General features: G+C 54.2%; 2 protein-coding genes across 8 annotated transcripts in view, besides 4 other annotated features; one reads left to right on the top strand and one right to left on the bottom strand.

Moving 5' to 3' along the window:
• The window catches only part of TOP3A (DNA topoisomerase III alpha), a 43,567-nt gene extending 39,432 nt beyond the window's left edge, over positions 1-4,135 (top strand). For all 4 annotated transcript variants that reach the window (NM_001320759.2, NM_004618.5, XM_047436634.1 and 1 more), the window contains one exon: positions 583-4,135. In NM_001320759.2, coding sequence (NP_001307688.1) covers positions 583-761 — 179 coding nt within the window. In that variant the 3' untranslated portion in view covers positions 762-4,135. The remainder of the gene's footprint in view (positions 1-582) is intronic.
• Positions 7,667-8,260: an enhancer, noted in NCBI's record as "H3K27ac-H3K4me1 hESC enhancer chr17:18170617-18171210 (GRCh37/hg19 assembly coordinates)". NCBI's record gives its function as "activates a minimal SCP1, AML or CMV promoter by ChIP-STARR-seq in naive H9 embryonic stem cells {active_cell/tissue: H9 hESC(naive)}" and the evidence as "EXISTENCE:reporter gene assay evidence [ECO:0000049][PMID:30033119]".
• On the bottom strand, positions 9,011-14,901 carry MIEF2 (mitochondrial elongation factor 2). Of its 4 annotated transcripts, none has more exons than XM_017024190.2 (4): positions 13,836-14,901; positions 12,696-12,849; positions 12,315-12,477; positions 9,011-11,853 (listed from the first exon to the last, which is right to left on the bottom strand). In XM_017024190.2, exons 1-4 carry the CDS (start codon positions 13,847-13,849, stop codon positions 10,799-10,801), a joined length of 1,386 nt encoding a protein of 461 aa, XP_016879679.1. In that variant the 5' UTR covers positions 13,850-14,901; the 3' UTR covers positions 9,011-10,798. The 4 variants fall into 4 exon arrangements, with proteins under 4 accessions (XP_016879679.1, NP_631901.2, NP_683684.2 ...); NM_139162.4 differs by having other exon boundaries at positions 14,826-14,901; NM_148886.2 differs by having other exon boundaries at positions 14,402-14,453.
• Positions 13,352-13,971: an enhancer, noted in NCBI's record as "H3K4me1 hESC enhancer chr17:18164906-18165525 (GRCh37/hg19 assembly coordinates)". NCBI's record gives its function as "activates a minimal SCP1, AML or CMV promoter by ChIP-STARR-seq in naive and primed H9 embryonic stem cells {active_cell/tissue: H9 hESC(naive and primed)}" and the evidence as "EXISTENCE:reporter gene assay evidence [ECO:0000049][PMID:30033119]".
• Positions 13,972-14,592: an enhancer, noted in NCBI's record as "H3K27ac-H3K4me1 hESC enhancer chr17:18164285-18164905 (GRCh37/hg19 assembly coordinates)". NCBI's record gives its function as "activates a minimal SCP1, AML or CMV promoter by ChIP-STARR-seq in primed H9 embryonic stem cells {active_cell/tissue: H9 hESC(primed)}" and the evidence as "EXISTENCE:reporter gene assay evidence [ECO:0000049][PMID:30033119]".
• Positions 15,214-15,343: an enhancer, noted in NCBI's record as "active region_11834". NCBI's record gives its function as "activates an Ori minimal core promoter by ATAC-STARR-seq in GM12878 lymphoblastoid cells {active_cell/tissue: GM12878}" and the evidence as "EXISTENCE:reporter gene assay evidence [ECO:0000049][PMID:35858748]".

Raw genomic sequence — 16,089 nt, 5'->3', positions numbered from 1 at the left:
ATGAAACCCGTCTCTACTAAAAATACAAAAAATAAAGTAGCCGGGCGTGGTGGCGGGTGCCTGTAGTCCCAGCTACTCGGGAGGCTGAGGCAGGAGAATGGCGTGAACCCGGGAGGTGGAGCTTGCAGTGAGTGGAGATCACGCCACTGCACTCCACACTCCAGCCTGGGTGACAGAGCGAAGACTCCATCTCAAAAAAAAAAAAAAAAAAAAAAAAAGTTGGTTCAGCCTTATCGTCTGCTGCTCTTTTTTTTTTTTTTTTTTTTTTTGAGACAGGGTCTTGCTCTGTTGCCCAGGCTGGAGTGCAGTGGTGTGATCACAGCTCACTGTAGCCTCCCAGGCTCAGGCATCCTCCCGAGTAGCTGTGACCACAGGCATACACCACACCTGGCTAATTTTTGCATTTTTTAAAGACAAGGTTTCACCATGTTGCCCAGGCTGATCTTGAACTCCTGGGCTCAAGCAATCCTCCTCCCTCAGCTTCCTAAAGTGCTGGGATTACAGGCATGAGCCACCGTGTTCAGGACTTGCCACTTCTGCATGTCAGTTCTAACCTCACCCCTCCCCTGACTCTCCCGACAGGGACTTCTGGAGCCCCGTCCTGGACAGGAGACAGAGGAAGAACCCTGGAGTCGGAAGCCAGAAGCAAAAGGCCCCGGGCCAGTTCCTCAGACATGGGGTCCACAGCAAAGAAACCCCGGAAATGCAGCCTTTGCCACCAGCCTGGACACACCCGTCCCTTTTGTCCTCAGAACAGATGAGCTCAGGGTAGGGTAGAGAACGCCACTTTCTCAGACCTGTCCCCTTTGTGTTTAGAAATGAGTTAACCAGGACCAAGTGGCCATTTAGTGTCCTGGAAACTTAGAGGACAGTGTTGGCCTTTGGAGTCGGGCCTTCTTGTGTTAAGGGGCACAAGGTCCAGATCACTCTGGAGCAGGCCAGCTCTGCTGGACAGTGACCCTCTTCCCAGGCCTCAGGAGTGACCATAGCCACTGCTGAAAAGTCACGCAGCTGCTCCCTCGGACCCCCCAAGGATGGTTGCTGTTAGCAGAGGATTGGTGCAGTCCCAGCTGAAGCCCACTGTGTGCCAAAGGAAGAAGCTCCCAGGGCTGCTTCCTTCACCTGCAGAAAGCCCCAAGTGAGCCACCAGCACTCATGGGGCAGTCCCTGTCCAGGCTGCCCAGGGCTTCTCATAGACGTCCTGAGAAGGACGGTGTAATGCAAGGAAATGGCTGTGGTAACACTGATCCTTCAGAAGAAGCTTCATTCCCTCTTAATCTAGTTAAGCCAGGACATCCAGAATTCATTGCTTTAATAAAGAACCCAGGCCGGGTGCAGTGGCTCATGCCTGTAATCCCAGCACTTTGGGAGGCTGTGGGGGGCGGATTGCCTGAGCTCAGGAGTTCGAGACCAGCCAGGGCAACATGGTGAAACCCTGTCTCTACTAAAATACAAAAAATTAGCCAGGTGTGGCGGTGTGCGCCTGTAGACCCGGCTACTCAGGAGGCTGAGGCAGGAGAATTGCTTGAACCCGGGAGGCGGAGGTTGCAGTTAGCTGAGATTGCGCCACTGGACGACAGAGCGAGACTCAGTCTCAAAAAAAATTTAAAAATTTAAAAAAATAAAAAGAATCCAACCCCGGCAGGGCGTGGAGGCTCACACCTGTAATCCAGCACTTAGGGAGGCCAAGGCTGGAGGATTGCTTGAGATCAGGAGTTCAAGACCAGCCTGGGCAACATAGTTAGACCTTGTCTCTATTTTTAAAAATATAACAAGCACAGTTGTACACGTCTTTAGTTCAGCTGCTCAGGAGGCTGAAGTGGGAGGATCCTTTGAACCCAAGAGTTTGAGGCTGCAGCAAGCCATGATCACACCACTGCACTCCAGCCTGGGTGACAGAGTAAGACCCTGTCTCAAACTTTTTTTAAAATGAAAGAATCCAACCTTTTTTTACTCTGACCTGCGAGAGTGCAGAGGGTCTGGGGAACATTTGCAGAAGCAACAGGTACCAGCCAGTGCTGGAAGGAGCTCACCCTGGGAGGTCTCGTCAGCCTCTGTCCTTCATGGCTGTCCCTTGTGTCCCATGTGGAGAGCCCTTCCTCCCTTTCCACATGGTAAGCACTGAGCCCAATTTCTTCTCACCCCACAGATGGTCCCTCAGAGCAGAGATGTCTAATGAAAGGTTCAGATTCAGATCACTAACTTTCCATCTTCCACTTTTTCCAGTGGTGGCCATGTTCCCCCGTTTGCCTTCACAAAAACCTTGTGAATAATACAAGCCATATGGACTCTGATTTACAGTTTAGAAGATGAGCAGAGGTGGGTGTGAGTTGCCCAGTCATGTTGCTAGTTGTTGAAGAAACTAGGATTGTTCTCAGGTCTTGGGCTCCTGGCCCATAGACCAGTGGCTCTGTGTTCTGATGGGGTATTGGGGAGGATTTTTACAAATGCAGGTTCCTGAGATTGTTCCTGGAACATCTCCGAGTGGGTGTGGGTTGTGGCCCTGCGTGTGTGATTTTGCCTATCCCAGCTCCGGGGTACCACCAACCACTTTTTGTCTCTGTGGGTTTACCTACTCTGGATATTTTGTTTAAATGGAATCATACCAGGCTGGGCACAGTGGCTCACGCCTGTAATCCTAGCACTTTGGGAGGCCAAGGTGGGCAGATCACCTGAGGTCAGGAGTTCGAGACCAGCCTGACCAATATGATGAAACCCCGTCTCTAAAAAAATACAAAAATTAGCCGGGCGTGGTGTCAGGCACCTGTAATCCCAGCTACTCAGGAAGCAGAGGTTGCAGTGAGCTGAGATCGGGCCATTGCACTCCAGCCTGGGCAAAAAGAGTGAAACTCTGTCTCAAGAAAAAAAAAAAAATGAAATCCTACCATACATGACATCCTGTGTCTGGTTTCTTTGACTTGGCTGATGTTTGTCAGGCTCATCCACATTGTAGCATGTCAGTCCTCGATGTTTATGATAAGCTGATAGCCCACTGTATGAATATACCACACGATTATCCATTTGTCAGTTGATGGACATTGGGTTGTTTCCACTTTTTGGCTATTGTGAATAGCACTGTTGTGAACATTGGTGTATGAGTGTCTGATGACTTGTTTTCAGTTATTTTGGGCATATGCCGAGGAATGGAATTGTAGTTTTATACCATAACTCCATGTTTTGACTTTTTGAGGAACCTACAAATTTTCCACAGTGGATGCACCACTTTACACCCACCAGCAGCACACCAGGGTTACTGCTTCTCCATATCCTTGTGAACACTTGTTCCTTTCCTTTTCTTGTATTATAGCCATCCTAGTGTTTTGTCATCCTAGTGGGTATGAAGTGGCGTGTCATTGTGGTTTTGTTTTGCATTTTCCTAGTCATTAATGACATTGACCATCTTTCCACAGGCTTACTGGCCATTGGTATACATTCTTTGGAGAATGTCGATTTAAGTTCTTCACCCATTTTTTATTTTTTATTTTTTATTTTTTTTTGAGATGGAGTTTCGCTCTTGTGCCCAGGCTGGAGTGCAGTGGTGCGATCTTGGCTCACTGCAACCTCTGCCTCCTGGGTTCAAGCAGTTCTCCTGCCTCAGCCTCCCAAGTAGCTGGAATTACAGGCATCTGCCTCCACACCCAGCTAATTTGTTTAGTATTTTTAGTAAAGACGGGGTTTCACCATGTTGGCCAGGCTGGTCTCAAACTCGTGACCTCAGGTGATCTACCAGCCTCGGCCTCCCAAAGTGCTAGGATTAACAGGCAGGAGCCATCACACCTGGTCTCTTCCCCCATTTTTAAATTGTGTTGTCTGTCTTTGTTGTTGAGTTGTAGGAGTTCTTAATAGTTTCTGGATATCAGATGCCTTTGTGGTTTTCACATCTCTGCAGGCAACTGTGTGTCTCAAAAGCAAACTGCAGGATTGGGCTGCACCATGGACTGGGCCAGGCATCTGAGATCAGACAGACCCAGGCTCAGCTCCCACTTCCTGGCCTCTTCTGCCACCCTGGGTGTGCAGCCTCATCCTTGGAGCCCCAGTTGCCTCATCCGTAATGGGGTGTCCTTGTTCATATTGAGGCTCTCTAGTGAAGGCTTACGGTCAGGCACGACTGCAAATTAAAGCTTCACAAATCAAACCTGTTGGAATTTCTAAGTCTCTCTCGATGGCCCACTCAGGTTAGCAGCATGCAGCTCATCCTACCCCGTCAACGTTGACTGGAAGGGTTTTTAGTCCCTGTGTTGAGCCACATCTGCAGCTTGTGCAATGCAAAACCAAGGAAAAGAAAATGGACCCCCCCCGCCCCCCCCTTGATGGATCTAGCTGAGACTAGGCACTGGCCAGGCTGTCACCTACAGTGGTTTCAACCTCCTGCTGCCAGCAAGACAGCATCTCCTGTCCTTTTTGTGCAGGAACCATAGCTCTGTTGGGTTAAGTGTTTTCCTCTACCAAGCAGCTAACCTGGCCTTGAAACCTAATCTCTGATGCCATGTCCCCCCAAGCCCCATCAGAGTTTTGTAAAAAGCCCCTCCCTGCTCTCCACACCAATGCTGAGAGCCCATGGGGTAACTGGAGGCTTCCCTGCCATCTTGGCAAAGAAGCCTGGCTGACGTCCTGCACATGCTTCCCCAGGTGATTGCTTGCACTTAACAGCAGAGGAAACGAGACCACCCCACACAACTTGTAGCAGTTGAGGAGTCTCTGCCTGATCCCACCCCGGATACTTAGAGCATCCAGAATTAAAAATAAGCCTTGTCACCAACATCCGGCTCCCCCACTCCCCAGAGCCAGGCTCAATGTGCCCAACAGCGCTGGGGCCCGCACCTGGAGGCACTGGCTTTTGAGACACTGGGCAGAGACCCCACTGCCCTTTGGGATGAATTCACCACCTGCCTCTTATAGAATCCGGCCGAAGACCTGGGATGTTCACATTCAGCTGGATCTCCAGGTTTCTTGGACTGGAACACAGGTGGCCCCAGCTCAATATGCTCACCAGGGTGTTGCCACTCACCTGTTGACCGTCCCTACCAGGGACAGATCTGTGCACCCCATCCCCACCTTAGACCACCAGCTCACACACAGGTGGTGTTGGTGCAGTGGTTAATGTTAGGTGTCAACTTCACTAGATTAAGGGATGCCGAGATGGCTGGTATTTTTTCTGGGTGTCTGTAAGGGTGTTGCCAGAGGAGAGTGACATGACTCGGTGGACTGAGAAAGGAAGACCTACCCTCAATGTGGGTGGGTACCATCCAATCAGCTGCCAGCACGGCCAGAACAACAGGTGGAAGAAGGGGGATGAGCACCTTGCTGAGTCTTCTCCAGCCCTCTCCCTCTTCCGTGCCAGATGCTTGCTTCCTCTTCTCTGCTGTTGGACATCAGACTCCAGGTTCTTCGGCATTTGGACTCTGGGACTTGCACCAGCAGCTTCCTGGAGCCTTCTGCCACAGACTGAAGGCTGCACTGTGGGCTTTCTGGTTTTGAGGCTTTTGGACTTGGACTCAGCTATGCTACCGGCTTCTTTCCACAGCTTGTAGATGGCCTATTCTGGGACTTCACCTTGTAATCCTGTGAGCCACTTCTCCCTAATTAACTCGCTTTCTATATATTACATACAGCCTATTGGTTCTGTCCCTCTGGAAAACACTAATATAGAGTCAGGGTCTGGCCTGCAGTCTGAACCTGAAAGGTTCCTTCTGAAACCCACGCAAGCGAGCCCCAGTGGCCTCCCTGCCTGCCAGAGGCCGCAGCCCACTGAACTGATTGGTCTTATCGTCTCAGGAATTCGGCAAGCAATGCAGAGATGACCCAGTGCAGGTCACCAGAGTCACCGGTGTTTGTCTTTGGAACACACCTGGGTTTTCTCCACTACAACCTTAGCTTTCTCAAGGAATTAAGATTATATATATATCCTGATTACAAAAGAAAAGTGTCATTAAAAACGCAAATGTTGGCCGGGCACAAGTGGCTGACACCTGTAATCCCAACACTTCGGGAGGCTGAGGCAGGCAGATCATTTGAGGTCAGGAGTTCGAGACCAGCCCAGGCAACATGGCGAAACCGTCTCTACTAAAAATGCAAAAATCAGCCGAGTGTGGTGGTGCATGCCTGCAAACCCGGCTACCCAAGAGGCTGAGAGGCAGGAGAATTGCTTGAACCAGGGAGGTGGAGATTATAGTGAACAGAGATTGGGCCACTGTACTCCAGTCTGAGTGACAGAGCAAGACTCCGTTTCAAAAAAAAAAAAAAAGCAAATGTTGGCTACACACAGTGGCTCACGCCTATAATCCCAGTACTTAGGGTGGCCGAGCTGGGAGGACTGCTTGAAGCCAGGAGTTTGAGACCAGCTTGTAATCCCAGGGGTAATCATGGCTCACTGCAGCCTCGCCCTGCTAGACTCAAGCCATCCTCCCACCTCAGCCTCCTGAATAGCTGGGCCCATAGGTATATACCACACCTGGCTAATTATTTTTTGTAGAGATGAGGTCTATGTTGCCCCTGCTGGTCTCGAACCCCTGGCCTCAGGCAGTCCTCCCGCTTCAACCTCCAAAACGCTGGGATTACAAGCATAAGCCACTGTACCTGGCCTGTTTTTTTGTTTGCTTTTTTAAATATTAGCAGATACGGAAACGAGCTGAACAGGTCAGCTCTACGGGAATAAATGGTCCCCCTTTGAGGACAATCCCACAGCTAAGTATTCCTGAAGAGAAGTGCGTACAAGTGGATTTACAAAAAGGAAATGCTATTTGGTCAAATTTATTACAGTTAGTGGTAGAGGATCTATGGGTGACATTTTCAAAGGACTACATTTAGATTCTCCATTTTTGGAGTCCTTTTTTTTTTTCTAAAATCTTCCCTAGCGACCCTTGCATTCTGAGCAGGGGTAGTCACTGCCTTACCAGAGTCATCAAGGATCCTGGCTCTGGGTTACTTGGTGAAGGTAAAACAAGGAATTTGAGTCACCACAGTGTTAAGACACTGAGGCCTAGGCAAGCCCATACCGTGCTCCCAGGCAGGCAGGGCAGAGGCTGTCCTTGCCTCGCGGGGAGGGGAGTGGGTGGGATTTCACAGCCCATCAGGACAGCCCAGGACCCGGCAGCCCTGGGAGTGGGTGGGATTTCACAGCCCATCAGGACAGCCCAGGACCCGGCAGCCTAGGGCGTGAGGTCATGCAAAGCTCCTAGCAAAACAGTGATTTGTTTCCAGTTCTCTGGCTAGAAACGGAAGACCCAGACATTAACCTTGGCTAGGTGATGAAACCACGAACACTTTTAACTCATCCTGGATTTTTTTTTTTTAAGCCATGGTATGAGACAGTACATTTAGAGCTACCTGAAGCAAGTGGCTTCTACATCAGGCTTGTGTTGGGGTCTGGTCGTCGAAGGAGTGGCACTCTAGACTGAGCTTGCTTCCTGGACAGCTGCGCTCTGACCAGGGGCTGGAGTGGCATCTGGGAGCACCTTGCTGTGCTGGGGCTTGGATGTGGCTGGAGGGTGGGGCACAGCTAGGCCCACCAGTCCTCGTTCCCAGGCATTATGTTAAGCACTGCCCACCCCAGTTAATCGTCACAAGCACCTGGGGTTGGGTATTACATGACCCTCCCCAGTTAAGAGATGAGAAGACTGAGGCACAGGCTCTGCCCCAGACTGTTCCCTTGCTGCCCCAACACCGCCAAGGAAACTGCTCAAAGCTCTCCAGCATCAAGGCATCAAGTGATTGGAATGGACCTCAGCCAAGTGATTGGAATGGACCTCAGCCAAGTGTCTCCCACCTTGGACCCTTATAATATCCTCTACAAGGAGCCCTCGTGCCCGCCTCTTGCCCTACACCCAACACCTAGAGGCCTACACCACTATTCCATTTGCTTGGCACAGTCCTGCTTCCCTTGGGTCCTGCAGTCACAGCTGGAAGGGGTAGGGGAGTCCCCTCAGGACGTAAGTCGGGGAAGGACCAGCAGGGTGCGAGTGGCACAGCTAGGCTGGAAGCAGCCCTGCACGCAGACCAGAGCCCTCCCCAGCCCACATGTGTCATCTGGTGATAGGAAGTGAGCCCTGGCTTTGGCTCTTGCGGGTGAGAGGGTTAAGATGCCCTGGCCTCTCACCTGCACAAGGCGGGGCAAGTTTCCTCCCCACTTGTGCAGCCACAAAGAGGTGCAAGGGAGGTAGAGAACACACATTTCTGGCCGGGTGCGGTGGCCCATGCCTGTAATCCCAGCACTTTGGGAGGCCAAGGCAGGCAGATCACAAGGTCAAGAGATCAAGACCATCCTGGCCAACATGGTGAAAATCCATCTCTACTAAAAATACAAAAATTAGCCGAGCGTGGTAGCGCGCACTTGTAGTCCCAGCTACTCGGGAGGCTGAGGCAGAAGAATTGCTTTAACCCGGGAGGCAGAGGTTGCAGTGAGCCGAGATCGCACCACTGCACTCCAGCCTGGGCGACAGAGTGATACTCACTCTCAAAAGAAAAAAAACACAGGTTTCTAAAAAATGATGAGCATGGCTGAAGGGCTGTCAACAGCCCACTAATTACAGAAAGTATGGTGCAGGGCTCAGCAGTTCAGCCTTGCGGGAAGAAACATCCCAAACTGGCTGGTTCCCATTACTAAAGCAACACCAAGCTTTTCATCTTTTCCTTCCACTTACCTTACTTGTCACGGACAGAAAGTCTGTGTCCCCTTCAACTTGTATGCTGAAATCCTAACCCCCAAGGCACTGCTAACAGGAGATGGGGTCTTTGGGAAGTGATTCGATCATGAATGTGGGCCCCCACCCCATGGGTGGGCTTAGTTTCCTTATAAGAGACCCTAGGAGAGCATTTCCCCCCTTCCTCCACATGAGGACAGCTAGATGGGGACACCTATGAACCAGGATGTGGGCTCTCAACCAAACATGGAATCTGTGACTCACTCTTGGATTTCTAGCCTCCAAAATGGTAAGACATAAATTTCTGATGTTTATAAGCCACCTAGTCTATGGCATTTTGTTATCACAGCCCAAACAGACTGAGATGCTAATTTATTATTACTATTATTATTTTATTTTATTTTATTTTGAGACAGAGTTTCACTCTTGTTGCCTAGGCTGGAGTGCACTGGCACGATCTCAGCTCACCACAACCTCCGCCTCCCGGGTTCAAGCAATTCTCCTGCCTCAGCCTCCCAAGTAGCTGGGATTACAGGCATGTGCCACCATGCCCAGCTAATTTTTTTGAATTTTTACCAGAGATGGAGTTTCTCCACGTTGGTCAGCCTGGTCTTGAATTCCCAACCTCAGGTGATCTACCGGCCTCGGCTTCCCAAAGTGCTGGGATTATAGGCGTGAGCCACAGCGCGGGGCCAAGATGCTTATTTATTTATTTTTTTGAGACAGAGTCTTGCTCTGTCGCCAGTCTGGAGTGCAGTGGTGCAATTTCAGCTCATTGCAACCTCTACCTCCCGGGTTCAAGCAATTCTCCTGCCTCGGCCTCCCGAGTAGCTGGGACTATAGGTGCGTGCCACCACGCCCAGCTAATTTTTGTCTTTTTAGTAGAGTTGGGGTTTCATCATGTTGGTCAGGATGGTCTCGATCTCTTGACCTCGTGATCCGCCCGCCTCGGCCTCCCGATGTGCTGGGATTACAGATGCGAGCCACCACACCCGGCCAAGATGCTACTTTTTAAAGTAAACTCTACCACCTCCAATTGACCTCAAGCACTCTTGCCAAAGTGCCAGGACAAGCCACAGGACTTACAGAAAACCCTCAACAGCTGCGTATGAAAGCACCAAGACTCCCTTATCCAGCCTGAGTTATATATACATTAGAATTTTTTCCTTTTATTCTTGTTCACATCTTCGAAGCTGAGCTTCGTTTCAAAAGGAAGGATACCAGAGGCAGGAGGAGGGTCACTTGGGAGGGGAGGTGGAATCTCCCTCCTCTAGCCCCCTTGCTACCTCTTAACAGGCTTCAAAGTCAGAATACAGCCATCAGCTGAGAGCAGTTCATTTTGGCACACTGGGAGGCCGGCTGTGCACACCGGACCTCTCTAGTGGGGGATCAGGTCCTCTGCTCTCCAGTGGGGCCTGGAACAGCTCCAGTGAGATGCCCCAGCTGTGGGCTGGGGGTGCAGCACAGAGCCTCAGCTCCCCCAGGACCCTCAGCTGCCTGAAGAAAACACTCACCTGGCTGGAGGGAAAAAGGGCCTTGCCCTGAGGTATCAGGTGGGTGGCAAGTCATACTGAGCTCCCGCTCAGCAAGAAAACTAAACGCACAGAAGACAGCAGGAAAATGCCATCCTTTAACAGCCAAAAATCTGTCCTTCAGGGGCACCAGGTGACTCCAGCCCCTGGGGGACAGAACAAACACACCATACCTACCATCAGGCACCAGACGCCTCAAAACGCCTGGAGCTAGGGCCGGAAAAGGCGTTAAGTCACCTTCTCTCAGCAGAAATGTGAAGCTGGCCTTCAGCTTCTGCCCAGGATGGCAGAAACCACATTCTGTTGGTGGATTGGTTGCTGGTGATGGACAGAGCCAAAGGTCCTGGGGTTGGCCCCAAGAGCTGAAACGGTGCTTGCAGGAATGGCTGGCACTCCAAGCTGCCTGAGGCAGCCCAGCTGCACTCAGGTGACAGTGACCCAAGCTCTCTGGGCTCAGGGTTTATGGCCACCATAGCCCAAGCACATCCTGATGCCCTGGGTTTAAGTAATGTACCCTCCTTTGTTCTGGCAAAAAGCTAGAGAAAAACCACTATTCAAATCCCTGGAAGGGAGGTGGGTGCAGCTCCCCAGCATTAGAAAACATGGCAACCACCCGTTTCCACCCACCTAGAGCAGCCCCTCGGGCTCCTGTAGGCCACTGTATAGCGCATAGCCAATGTCGTCAATCTCCTCCTCACGCAAGCTGCTGAAGAGGTTCACGCTGGGGTTGAAGTGGCAGGGCAGGCTGGCCTGCTCCAGGCTGCCGATGAGCAGCTCCAGGGCTTGCAGGAAGCGCTCACCCAAGGCCTCCTCCGTCCAATCCACGTTGTCCTCCCCCAGACGCAGGACCACCTGGGTCAGGTGACCCCGGCCTAGCTGCCCCAGAGCCGAGCAACCACGGCAGACAGCACACAGCAGCAGCAGCAGCCGCCGGCGAGTCCCAGCGTCATGGTCGTCCAGGGCTCGCAGCCTAGCAGCCTCCACTGGATACAGGTCCTGCAGCCAGAGGTTCCCCGCCAGCCCCTCCAGGGGCCAGGCCAAGAGGAGGCGGTCGTCAGCATCGACCCCAGGGACTGCCACAAGCACAGCCACAGTGAGCTCCAGGCGTTCGTGCTGCACCTCGAGCAGCAGCTCCTCCGAGGCCATGCTGGGCCGGATCAGGCACCCGAGAAGGCTGCCAATGGCCGGCCAGTTGACAGAAGCAGCCAGCGCCTTGCGGAGTAGCTCCAGCAGGACGCGGGAGGAGAGGTAGCCCCCGACCAGGAAGCGGTCCCAGGGGCTGCTCCCACGGGGGCAGAACTCAAGCTGCGTCCTGCGCACGGCCCAGCAGCGAGGGTCCCTCGCCACAGTGTCCACGCCCGGCACCAGGCTCCACAGGCCCGGCTCCAGCACCAGTGGCACCAGGAGACGCACATGGTCCGCAGCCCCCGCCTGCAGCCCGTCGTAGAGCGGCCCCCCAGGCACGAATGCCCCAAAGGGCAGTTCCGGGAACTTGCTCCGAAAGTAGGCCTGCAGCTCCAGGGCGATGTCGCCAGCCAGCTGTTTGGCCAAAGCCACCTGGGCTGCTGGGATGGTCACACGGTCCCGCTCGAAGGCCAGCAGCCTCTCCTGCAGTGTCAGACACAGCGGTGCTGGGGAGCTGAGCTGTGGTGTCACCTCAGGATCAGTTTCTGCAGGCCCTTCTGCAGAGTGAAGGGGCGGGGAACATGTCGGAACAGCCTGTGATTAGTTAAGAAAACGCCACCGAGAACTAGCTGTGTGATGTCCCAGGGCCTCACTTTTCTCACCTGCAGTGGCACCTGAGAAGGCACTCAGTTCAGATCCTCACATATAGTGAGCTCTTGGTGACGAGTTCTCATTGCCCCAGAGTCCAACACCCTGGCGACAACAGCTTCATGCAGAGTAGGTAGGTATGTCACGCCCCTCTGGACCTCAGTTTCCCCATCTAAAGCTCCCCACCATCACAACGCTACCACCTTGCTCCAGGAACAGGGCAAAGAAACACCACCCCCATTAAATATCTGAGGAGCCCACAACCGAGAGAGAAGCAGGGACTCGCGCAGGGTCACACAGTCAGTCAGGGCAAAGCCTGGGCTGCGTCTCTTGAATGTGACACCAAAAGAGGGGAAGGAGTGCCACTCACCTGGGGCAGACGACGAGGGGGCCAAGGGCAACACTGGCTGGCTAAGGGCAGCAGGTGGAGGCCGGGGCTGCAGGTGTGGTGTGGCCTTGAGCAGGCTCAGTTCCTTCCAGCTGTCTGCCTTGGTGTCATCCTCATCCCGCGGGCTAGTGGCCCTGTCAATGAACTGCAAGCACAGTCACACAGATCAGTGTATATGAAATCTGGGCAGTCATAGCAAAGCCCAGGGCAAAGCAGACCAGCGTGCTGGGTGGAGAAGCAGGTGCCCTGGGCTCCCATGAAGGCCTTGGGCAGTCCCCACCCCTCCCCAGGGCCCCTCTGAAAAGCCCAACCCTGTTGTCCTCCTCTAGGAGCTTCAGGCATGACCCGCCCACTTGGCCTTACCCGCTTCACGGCCAGGGTGGCAATGCCCAGCACAGCAGCCCCGCCCACGCCCAGCACCAGGCGGGCATTGGCCAGGAGGAAGTCCACCATGCTGCCCAGCCCTTCGTCGCTACGCCGCTTCCCCCGTTTCTGGGAGAACTCTGCCATGGTCTGCCTGTAAGAGAGCCAGGGGTGAAGGGGCAGCTCAGGTGCAGGTGGCCAGGCTGGGAGAGGGGCTGCTGTGGACAGGTGCTCTAGCTGTCCTTATGCTGGGTAACAGAGCTGAGCCCATGAGGGGGGCTTTCTGAGAATTTCTCAGAGAAAGGGGCCACCCATCCACAGGGGAGGACACCGAGGCCCTGGGAAATCACGTAAAGTACCTGAGAAAGGGCAGGGATGGGATATGAGCTTGGGTTTTGGGGTCCCAAGCCCCCATCTCTCATGAGGAGATGAGGGAGCTGCCAAGCCCCTTCTCCCAAAGCTGCCTGGAAAGAAGCTCACAAAGGCCCTGAGGCTTGTGCAGGTATAGGAAGGGGCCTCTCTCCCTGGAGCCCACCCTCCAGGACCTCTGACATCACCAGGGTGTCATCATCACTACCCCTATGTTACAGAGCTACAGGCTGCCAGCTCACAAGTGAGTGGTAAGGTCTCCAACCCATGACTGCAAGGCCTCCAGACTCTCATCCGCCCACAGAGTCTGACGGATTCTCCCTGTGCCAGGTGCCCAGGTCCTCAGCAGCAGCCTCATCTGAAGGTTCCTACCCAGAGGGCACAGCAGCCCTCTATGATAACCTCTTCAGAAGAGCCCAAAGTCCAGAGAAGACCAACAATTTGGGGCCCCAGCCAGTCTGGGGGACCACTGGGACCAGTTACCCCCAAATCTTGACAGGGTAGCCCAAGAGGCAGAGCTACCAAGTCAGAGCACGGGCAGAGTAAGACGGCCCAAGCTGCCCAGGCAGGCCAATGCAGATGTGCTTGTCAGGGTTGAAGCCCCTTTGGCAGGGCAGAAAGGGCTGCCCAGTGCCTCTGTACAGGGGGCTCTCTGGGCCTCTCAGTCTTGGGACAATGTGTAGGTAGTGGTGGGTGATGCTTCTCAACTGCCGGAAGGCCAAGCAACACAGAAAGTAAGGTGAAGGCCTGGGCCCCAGCCTGTTTGCTCACCTGTAAGATGGCATAGGCAGCAGTGAGGGGCAGATGTGGGCAGCCTTGAAGTGTGTGGCTGGGTGGGGGCCAGCACTTGGGAAGTGGAGGCAAAGATCTCCTAGGGCCCAGTCCACATTCCTCACGTTCTGCGAGGGGGACACTGCCCTCAGGCCCTGGGAGCTGAGAAGGGCTGGGACCTTAGGACATCAGTTAGACACCAAGCAGAACTCTCCCGGGGAGGCCTGAGCAGATGACCATGAGGTCACAGCCTGCCCGGGCACCAAGGACTTCTACCTGCCCTGCCAGAGTGTGGGTGCCAGGGGCCCAGTTGCCAGGTGACCAGATGCCTGGAGTAGCTGAAGCCTGAAGCGCTGTGTGACTCAGCCCCGTACACCCGCCCATTCGCCCCAGACTAAAAATAAGACGGTCTCTGGGGCGATCCCAGGCCAACCGGGTGACCCGCCACGGCCCCAGGGCCGGTTTCAATCTCCTCATCGGTGACTCGGGGATCAATACTGCCACCCGCCCCCAGAGAGACCAGGAATCTACTTTGCAAACTGTAAAGCGCTTTAAATACTCCCAACCTGTCTAAATTGGGACTCAGCCCCATCTCTGGCGGGGTCGCGCAGGCCTCAGTCCACAGCCTTCCAGCTCCGAGAAGCAGGAAAGGGCACGGGTGGCTGAAAATAACCCAAGTTTGCGCAGCGGGGCCCTGGAGGCCGTTTGGCCTTCCCTCCTCCGCCAAACCTGCCTGCCCTGGGCCCGGGCGGAGCAGGCCGCGCAGCAGCCCTAGGTGGGCGGGTGACGCCCCGTTCGCAGGATAAACCAAGAGACCGAGAGGGGAAGGGGGCTGGGCTAGGATTCGAACGCTGCCCTTGGTCCCCCAAAGGTCCCCTCCCCGCCTTCCCCAGCGGTGATCGCGGGCCACGCCCCCGATCTGCGTTCCGTCGCGCGCCAAGCCCCGAGCCCGGTGACCCTGGGGGCCGCCCCGCCGCGCTCCAGCTGTACCTGCGTCGCAGCTTCCGCACGACGACCGGAGGAGGCAGCGGGACCACGGCCCCGGAGCTCAGACCAGCCTGGGAATGGAACGTGAAGGACCCTGGAACCCAACGACTAGGGCCCCGGGGGCAGCCGCGGACTTCGCAGCACGCAGACAAGCAGGCCCTAACTCCAATCGGAGCGCTCGAGTCCAGCGCACAGGTGCCAAAATACTGCGCGGTTCAGCCAATGAAGGGCAGGTCCCGCCCCCCAGCCGACAGCCGCACTCCCTCTGGGGCGGGACTCCCTGACGCAGTCTGGATTTAAAGGTGCAGGGCTGCATTCCGAGACCGCGAACAGGTGACGTGACAGGCGACCCTCCAGGACGTCTGTGCGTTGTAATGTGAGCCTCCGGTGTGGAGGAAGCTGTCTGGGCCCCGTTCCTTCTGGGGACCAGGTAGAGAGGCTGCACATGGCTAGAGGCCCGGCACATCCAACCTCTTAGGTCACCTCTGCGAGAGAGTGTCTTGGTGGCCTCATTCTTACCTGTGGGCCTGAGGGGCACAGCGCCTACCCCTGCCACCTGCTCTGTGCGAGCTTGTGTGGGCCATTCTCCACCTGGGCATCAGTTTTTCTCCTGTAAAATGGGGACACTAGACCCCCTCCTCCCCTGCGAAGGATGGTTGGGCATATAACAGCTGTGGCTCATTTATTGGGGTCCTGCTATGTGTCAGCCAGGGCGAGCCCCCTTGAACAGCAAGGACCAAGACGGATGCTTCTCTTCTGGAGCCTCCCTTTGTAGGGGGGTACGAGCACAGGGGTGCTGACACTAAGTGGGAATAATAACCTGGCGCACAAAACAAAACAAAACGGAATAATAACCTGCCACTCACTGAGCGCCTGCTGTATGCTGCGAGCTACACGTGCATTCTTTGTTAATTTGCTCATGGTGACAACCTTAGAAAGTATTTTACAAATGAGGAAACTGGGTAGGGCGCGGTGGCTCACGCCTGTCATCCCAACACTCTGAGAAGCTGATACCAGAGGATCACTTGAGGCCAGGAGATCAAGACCAGCCTGGGCAACATAGCAAGCACCCCGTGTCTACAAAAAGTATAAATAAGGCCGGGCGCGGTGGCTCACGCCTGTAATCCCAGCACTTTGGGAGGCCGAGGCGGTTGGATCACGAGGTCAGAAGATCGAGACCATCCTGGCTAACACGGTGAAACCCCGTCTCTACTAAAAATACAAAAAAAAAAAAAAAAAAAATTAGCCGGGCGTAGTGGCGGGTGCC

This window comes from Homo sapiens, chromosome 17 (genome assembly GCF_000001405.40).
Source record: "Homo sapiens chromosome 17, GRCh38.p14 Primary Assembly".
NCBI classification, from domain to species: domain Eukaryota; kingdom Metazoa; phylum Chordata; class Mammalia; order Primates; family Hominidae; genus Homo; species Homo sapiens.
The sequence above is the reverse complement of the archived record's forward strand: the minus strand, read 5'-3'. Positions and strand labels throughout refer to the sequence as shown.

Bases quoted from the DNA above. Each gene is read 5' to 3' on its own strand.
- MIEF2 (NM_148886.2), bottom strand. From the start codon at position 14,427: ATGGGGCTGAGTCCCAATTTAGACAG. The intron at 12,850-14,401 runs GTTGGGAGTATT...GCTCTCTTACAG, and splicing joins CTGAGTCCCAATTTAGACAG to GCAGACCATGGCAGAGTTCT. The intron at 12,478-12,695 runs GTAAGGCCAAGT...CTGTGCTTGCAG, and splicing joins CCACCCTGGCCGTGAAGCGG to TTCATTGACAGGGCCACTAG.